The sequence below is a fragment of the Homo sapiens genome, chromosome 16, assembly GCF_000001405.40.
Source record: "Homo sapiens chromosome 16, GRCh38.p14 Primary Assembly".
Classification (NCBI taxonomy): domain Eukaryota; kingdom Metazoa; phylum Chordata; class Mammalia; order Primates; family Hominidae; genus Homo; species Homo sapiens.
In genome coordinates this window covers 75,965,413-75,974,150 of record NC_000016.10, presented here as the reverse complement: position 1 = coordinate 75,974,150, position 8,738 = coordinate 75,965,413, and the positions used below count along the sequence as shown (strand labels likewise).

General features: G+C 35.9%; 1 annotated feature.

Moving 5' to 3' along the window:
• Window positions 7,706-8,000: a silencer, noted in NCBI's record as "tiled region #3262; HepG2 Repressive DNase matched - State 9:DNaseU, and K562 Repressive non-DNase unmatched - State 24:Quies". NCBI's record gives its function as "represses a minimal TATA promoter and a strong SV40 promoter by Sharpr-MPRA in HepG2 and K562 cells {active_cell/tissue: HepG2 | K562}" and the evidence as "EXISTENCE:reporter gene assay evidence [ECO:0000049][PMID:27701403]".

Here is an 8,738-nt window from a genome sequence, read left to right as displayed (position 1 = left end):
CAACTTTTAGCTCTTTAAAATGTTACATCCTGTAAGCCAGTTTGCATTCGATATGCACACACACAAATACAGAAACACACATGCACAGTGGGATCAAAGTAGGTGAGTGATGTCTCTTGCTTACTTTTTTCCCTAAAGATTGAAAGGTTCTTTAAAACTTTATCCACACATAGATATCCGGGAAATGGGACTAATAAGGCAGAACTCACAGAGCAGATTTGCAGATTAAATAGGATTACAATATAAAACACTAAGCATCATACTTTGCACAGTTAGTGGTCACTGTTATCACCATTGGTTCCCAATGCCGTGGTCAGCCATGTGAATTACTGAGGGTAAGTTTTGAGCTGCGCAAAGGAACACTAGCATGTTGTCATTTGTACATTTGACTTATGCAAATCCAAGTGTAGGTGCTTGAGGAAAAGAACAGAGAGCGAGTACTGACTATCGACTTTCCACTCCTATCAATGAACACATGCCACAGTGGAAGTACAACCCTAGGAACAGAATGTGCTGTTTTTATCAGTCAACCCTTCTGTCTCCAGTATTGTGAATATCTCAGCGCACAAGTATGATTCTGGGGTTAAATGTGTACATTTTCATATAAGATAAAGCCAAAACGCAAGGCAAAAGTTCATCTGATAGTCAAGTGAAGACACAGTGATTGGATCAACGCTGTAGAAAAAGCTGTTTGGCTTTGTTGGTCTTACTGAGGTTATTCATGTCCATAGTATGTATCTTATGAGTGATTTGTGGGAATATTCAAGAGGAATATTTTACTATATTCCAGTTCCACCTTACAGGCAGACTTTAGAAACCTCAATTGTATAGGATGTACATTCACTTTATAAATGTGAGACGAAGAAAGGGAAAAGACAAGAATTATTTTTAATGGCCCCAATAAATGTTGGGTTTGCAACAAAACTCAAATCCAGCCCAGAAGCATAAACAGCAAGATGAATTGATCAGAGTGTGCCAGATGAAAGCTTAGCTAGTTAATTATTATATCATCTTAAGTGTAAAGACCAAAGATGTTGCAGTCATCAAAAGCAAACTTGATCACTAACCAGAGAGTGGTTCACGGTAGAGGGAAATGAGAAGAGGATCTGGTCTTGGGAAATGCCAACGACATCAACCCATGGACTGGAGACATGGCTAAAGATTCAAGTATCATGGGATTAAAATGCAGGGATGGTCATTTTATAGGCATATGCCTCTTTGATGTGTGTGTGTGTGTGTGTGTGTGTATGTATAAGAAAGAGAGACACAGACAAAGAACAAGATGGGGTGTTAGGGGCAGTAGGAAACTTGAGGAGAATACTAGAAACTGCCAGCAGATGATACAGCATTGAACATTTAGGGTTCTGCCACCTGAGAGGTGACAATCTAAGCTATGTGATTCTCAGGTACAGGAAAGGAACCTTAAATGCTTATTTGGCTGGGCTCTTACTGGTCTCAATTAGGGGGGCCACTGGTAACTACTAGACAGGATTCATCAGGAAGGACCAATCTGAGGAAATTGAAAAGTAGGAAATTAAACTAACGCAATCCTCCTCTCCCTAGTTATTCATTTAAAAGTTTGCCTCACTCTCAGTCACATGCATGGTGTCCAGGGCAATTTTCTACCCAGCTGGCCATGAGCAGGAGTGACTGTGCACCCTGAATGTCAGAGATACTTCTTCACAAGAATCTGTGAAGACTGCCAGCCCTGTGCTTTCTTTTTAAATCCCTCTTCCCAGAATATCCCCTGCCTGACAGTTGCTGGCTGATGGTGGGTACAGTGGGGAGAGTGTGGATGTGAGGCTCTGTGAGCGACACTCTTTACAGGCTCTCACTGTGAGAGGAAGGAACTGTGCATGGAGGCAGAGATTTCCACTAAATGTCCATTGGTCCTACTTCAATAAAGGCTTCAGACTTAAAGCCAAGAGAGAAACAGTTATAAAATCAGCTCGATGAAACCAGCTACATCTCCATGAAAAGGGCTAACTTTCTGTACTGTGGATAGGACCTTTGAATATCTTCAGATTTTAAAAATACACAGGTAGCAAACACTGCTGGTAGCTCTCATTCTCCATTAAAGGGAGAGCAATTACGTCAAAATGATAATGCAATGTGTATCCTCAACTCATATTATCTATTTGCTGTCCTTTGCGTGCAAAAAGATATGATAGAAAATAGTAAGAGAGAGAATTGCTAAGCAGCTGGTTAATCATGGCCTGTGCAATTATTATATTTTCATTCTGGCTCCGAAAAAGGAAACACTTAAAATGAATGAAATATGCATTGGTGCCGCTAGCAATGAAATTAAGCCACCTTATTAACTGTGCAATTTTTACAAAGGTTCCGAGAAATACTCATTAGGCCTTTTGTGTGAATTGAACTTCATCTCCAGCCCCATCTTAATTCCCAGAATATAAAGTAACACTCACTTAAACATCTCGGTTTTACTAAGAGATGACAAATAAAATACTTGGAGATTTTGGAAATAGAATACACATTAAGAAAAAAACAAGGTCCTTATTAGCTGTTTCATCTTTTATTTAGTTTATTCCTTATCGTGATCCTCTTATTGTTACTATTATCACTATTACTATCACTACCTTCAAATCATTATGCTAGGTTATTGCACAATATATCATTAATTCTTTAAGAAAAGCAGGCAAGACAGGAATTACCATTGTCATTTACTAAATAAGAAAAGAGGTTTCAGAGCACAATTAACTTTCTGAAGCTCCCATTACTAATAAGTCTGAACAATTCCAAAGCCCACATTCATCCCATCACTCATATTTCCATATACAAACTTGTCAAGAATCATTGGGAAAATGCATTTATATTTTACTATTATATGGGTCAATCTAATATTACTAATGTAACTTGAGACATTTTCATTAAATGTTCACTATCTTGCCATAAACGTTTTATAAATATTAATCTCAAATTATTAAAGTCTCTAAATACTTAATATTAAAGCCTCACACATTATTATTGCTCCTTCATCTTAAGGAAATCATCCAAAGAAATAGTCATAAAATGAGAATGTTATTGGTACTTTTTTATCACCAGGTTTTTAATCACTTTGAAATGATATTTGGCATTTTCAACTTGGAAAATGGAGCTATATGTTCAATTGCAGAGATTATGACTAAGAGGATTAACAGTAAATTCACAGCAAAGGAAGCAGCTACCTAGAAATAGTGTTTGATCTCAGGAATTTTCCACCTCCCTGCCACATCCTACAACATACCAGGCAAAAATAGAAGGAAAAATAATACAGGTATAAAACAGCTACCTGTACAAATTAAATTAAAAACAAAACTTCTATCTGAATAATAAGTATAATTATCTATCTTTACATTATATATATATATAAAATACTTGGTGGTTTAGAAGATTTTTATGAAGATTTATATATTATATATTATATATATAATATAAACCATCTTTGGTGCTTTAGAAGATTTTTATGAAGATTAATATATATAATACATATAATTTTTATATATTATATTTATAGATTTATAGATACAGATTTATATATAATATTTATATAGAGATTTATATATCTATAAAATATATATTATATATAAATATAGATTTATATATAATATTTATATATATAGATTTATATATATATTTATATATAATATTTATATATAGATTTATATATAATATTTATATATAGATTTATATATAGATTTATATATAATATTTATATATATAGATTTATATATATTATATTATATATATATAAATCTTCATAAAAACCTTCTAAACCACCAGACATCTTCTGTACCTATTAAAAAAAGAGTCTGCAAATATAACAATAGATCAAATCAAGGCTAATTAATCTCTGTACCACTAAATTGGTTGAACTCCAGTCAACTACGAGTTGACAACATTTCCATTTTGGACATCTCTACCTGCTCAAATATCCCCTTTGCTTTAAAGTCTCAAACCAACTTAATTCAATAAAGATACTTAAAAAAACTCATACTAATCATAAAAAATATTGAGTATATACTTCCTTCCAATACTGAGTATATACTTCTGGAGTGAGTTACATTTAGTGTGTCAAGCAAGTTCTTAGCTCACATTCATTTTGAGTCAGTACTATCATTTGCATACTCTTGAAACTGGAAGAGCTTTTTCCATGATGTTCAGCTTTCACATTTAAAATTGGGTAACAGAAGAGCTTCTGGACAATATTTCAAAGGCTATTTCCAATGGAGATAAGTCACCAATAATTAAAAATAAGGAGCTGGTACATATTCCTTCAGGCCATGGTATTGACAAATCACTCACCATCAGATACAAGCCACTAAACATGACACAAGAATTTAGAGGGAAGGAAACTGCATATTCTTCAGAAGGTGCATGATGGAATTTATTCTGTCCAGGTATTCATGATTTAGATAGTGGAAAAGAAGCAACAGCAAGTAATCACTTAGGTAATGGGTGATTAGAAATCCTTAAGGGAGGCTGGACACGGTGGCTCATGCCTGTAATCTCAGCACTTTGGGAGGCCAAGGTGGGTGGATCACGAGGTCACGAGTTTGAGACCAGGGCCTGGCCAATATGGTAAAACCCTATCTCTACTAAAAATACAAAAATTAGCTGGGCGTGGTGGCGCATGCCTGTAGTCCCAGCTACTCGGGAGGCTGAGGCACGAGAATCGCTTAAACCTTGGAGGCGGAGGTTGCAGTGAGCCGAGATCACACCACTGCACTCCAGCCTGAGTGACAGAGGAAGATTCCGTCTCAAAAAAAAAAAAAAAGAAGAAGAGGAAGAGGAAGAAGAGGAAGAAGAGGAGGAGGAAGAGGAGGAGGAAGAGGAGGAGGAAGAGGAGGAGGAAGAGGAGGAGGAAGAGGAGGAGGAGGAAGAAGAAGAAGAAGAAGAAGAAGAAGAAGAAGAAGAAGAAGAAGAAGAAGAAGAAGAAGAAGAAGAAGAAGAAGAAGAAGAAAGAAATCCTTCAGGGATATAGAAGACACTCTGAATTAGGAACCAACATTATTATCAAGACTATTATTACAGTCTTGGCTTTGACACAAACTATTTGTGTGATTTAGAACAAGTTGTTTTCCTCTGGGAGCTTCCCTTTTCTCATCTCTAAGGGCGTATTTAGGGGAAAGGAAAACTGACGAATTAGGGCTACGGTTTCTTGAAGTGTAAGTTCTAAAATTCCCAAATGACAAATGCACAGAATATTCCTTCAGCTAAAATGCCAATGGCCTGGGGCAAAGTATGGAGGCTCATCAGAGCATCATTGCTCTCTACAATTTTCTGGCCCCATTCAGACCTCTCCTTAATAAAAAAAAAGGCAAGGCGAGGCTCGTGTTGTTTCTACACATTGCTACATATCTTCATCTTCAAGATAGAGACAAGATGATATACATACAGCCACCTCATACAGTTGTCCAACTGACAACCTATGCAGCTATTTCCAATTGTCCTGGGCTAGACAGAATTTGAATATGTGGTATACTTGCCTAGATTAAGTGTGGGGTGAATATTTATGAAATAAAAACCTGCTAAATCAGAAGAACCAGTAGAAATAAAGGCATTAGAAACTAGGCATAAAGTTTAGAACAGGTAGAATCACTGCATTTAGCTGCAATCCTAATGGGAGATATATTTAACTGATGCCTATTTATTTTCTTTTTTGGAAATTTATAATTGACCATATTTTTAAAGAAAGAATTAAAGTGATAACTTAATGTGTGCATTTCTGGCTCAGATGCTTTTAAGATTAATCAAATACCTCAAGAGAAAATTAAGGGTTGAAATCTAATAAAAGCATTCCATATATTTCCAAATGAAATGCATAAATAGTTCTGTTTATTCATATCCAGCTGAAAGGCAGAAATATCTCAGCAGGTTTACCCCTTAATACCAGTGAAAATAGTGCAGTGTCAAAAAAACAAAACAATTCTCCATATTCCAAACCAAGTAGAAAATTTCACTGTACATTTTAAATAACTATCTTTATTTGCATATGCCTGTGAGAATGAGTATGGGAATACTGTATAGACGTGATTGTGTGGGTAACTGTGAGTGTGTGTGTGTTTTGTGGAGTGCTAAGTATTTGTGTCTCTATGAGAGAGAAATAGTATATATGTGTGTGTGTGTGTGTGTAAATATATGATCTTGTATGTAGCCATGTGGGTGTGAATGTGTATACATATTTGCACTTCCTAATGTGTTTTTATACAATGTTCAAATTGCTTAGGTCACACATCCTTCTTTAATAAGAAACAAACCAGCCTTCATTCAGTTTCATAGGAACTTCTTGCAACTAAATAATGAATTACACCTGCGCACACAGTAAGAATTTATTCTTAGTCATTTATGAAAACAATTTAACAAAGCATGAGAAGATTTGGGTATTTTACTATATTCATGTAGTTAATAATTTTTTAAGCTTTGATATGGACCAAGATATAAAAAGAGCAAATAAATGTTAACCTCCTAAGGAAAAGGTATCCTAAAAATTAGATAACTACAATTTAGTTTTTAGATACAAGATGGTTAAGTGTGTAATTTTTATTTTATACAGAAACATAATTCACAAATAAATCATGCCAATGTAGGGCAAAAGTCAAAATAATACAAAAGCAAATGATCTGCATCATTTTGCGAAGATCAAATGCTTCTAGAAATGACAAAATTATTATGGCGAGTACTAGGGTGGCAATGATGCAGCTCTAATTTTTCAATGGTGATTGGGAAATTAGGCAGTTAGATGTTAATGGTCATACTAAATCCATAATGAGGAGGCAAACAATCACATTAACACACACCATATGCTTACAATCATTTTGCTACGATTACTCTGCCACTTCTAAAGGGAGAGGAAAAGTTCGATTTAAATTGGGAGGAGAAATAAGAGTACATTTGAAGCTGAAACCAGAAATACAAGCAATTCTACTAGTTCCTTTCCACCAGGAATCTCCCTCCTATGCTTATGATCTTCTTAATGAGCCATCAAATTCTCTTCATTTATTTAGTTTATTCCCTCTTCCGTCTGTCCTCCTCTCACCTCTCTCAGCCTTCTCTCTTCCTTGTCTTCAACTCACTTATTCTATATCTGGATTTTCTTCTTAGCAGTTTATCTGAACCAATGGAAATCCTTGGCCCTGGCATCCATCTCTTTTTTTGCTAAGATGCACCAGCTCATTTGCAGTGCCACCTGCAATCACACTACCCTCCTCATCCACCCCACGCTCATGTGTTTAAATTCAAGAATGACACATTCATAAAATAGGTTTTCCATTTGATGACCAGCAGCCCCCCAAAATGAGTTCCCCAAAATCTGTACAATCTGCATACATATTAAAGGACAAAATTGACAACCATCTCTGGGGTTTTATTTTATTTAAGTTCTAGGATACATGTGCGGAACGTGCAGGTTTGTTACATAGGTATACGTGTGCCACGGTGGTTTGCTGTACCTATCAACCCATCATCTAGTTTTGCCCAGCTTCTACCTGGCACCTTTTTAATATTTTTAGTATATTTCATCTCACTTTGACCCAAATGAGAACCAAAGAGGGACTGAATAGGTGATATCAGTGAAAATAATGGAGTAAAAAAACCCTCCAAAAATCCTCTCCTCCATCAAAGCGATGAGGAAACTGGTAAAAATTGTTCAAATCAACATGCTCAGGACTCTGGAATTAACCAGAGGCTTGAGGCAATCCTGAGAGTGTTTATTAAAGAAAAATTGCTAAATCTCAGGTGTTTTGTGAGATTTGTGGTGTTTTATTAACTTGCCCTATTCTCATTCTCCCATGCCAGCTCAGTGACAGCCTTGAGGATAACAGCTGCACATCACACAGAGATCAGTAGCATGTTAGTCATTGGAGAGAGAACAGATCAGAGCTCCTTCAAAGCCCCATTTCAGATAATTGTCATTATTTGAACACTTTGGTAATTCTTTGGAAGATTCTACTTGCAAAAGCTGTCTTTACTTTTACTGACTCAGAGTTGACTCAATGCAAATAGATTTTTCCTGGAATGGGAGGAGAGGACATTTGTGAAAAACAATTATTAGAGACAATTGTTTAACATTGTGAATGCCAGAAGTAGTGGAGAACAGGAGGCAAACAATAGGGTAGTCATAACATTTAAAAGGAAAAGTTGGAGAATGAGATGTCCTTGGGGGAGATTGAAAAGCTGCAACATATTTCTGGAAATCTAAAAGGCCACACACAGAGGGCTCTGCATATGCCCAGGAAAAGACCTGAGAATCTCCTAAATTTTCACCTGTGGTTAAGCTGGAGGCTGTGCACTAGCAGGAAATGCAGGCTAGGCACATTATAAAATTCCTGCTGAGTGTTGAAGGCATGCCTTAAGACATTTCCTGATAAAGAAAAACTGAGTTTGTTGCTAGCAGATCTGCCCTACCAGAAATACTAAAGAGAGTCCTTCAGGCTAAAATGAACCAGATGGTGACTCAAATCCACATGGAAAAATAAAGAATACTCATAAAGGTATTTACCGGTGATGCTGTGAAGCTACAGAAGCCTCAGTCACCTGACATTTGACACCTCACAGTGACATAAAGACAAATTATTTTAAAAGAAATTCAAATGTACATTCTCCTCCATTTCTGTAAACATAGTTACACTACTTTTAGAACACCTGGCATATACACATGGGAAGTTTTTTAAAAAATGAAAATACATCTATAGAAATATTACAATAATTTCAGTAAAATGTATTGCATAATAGGTTTA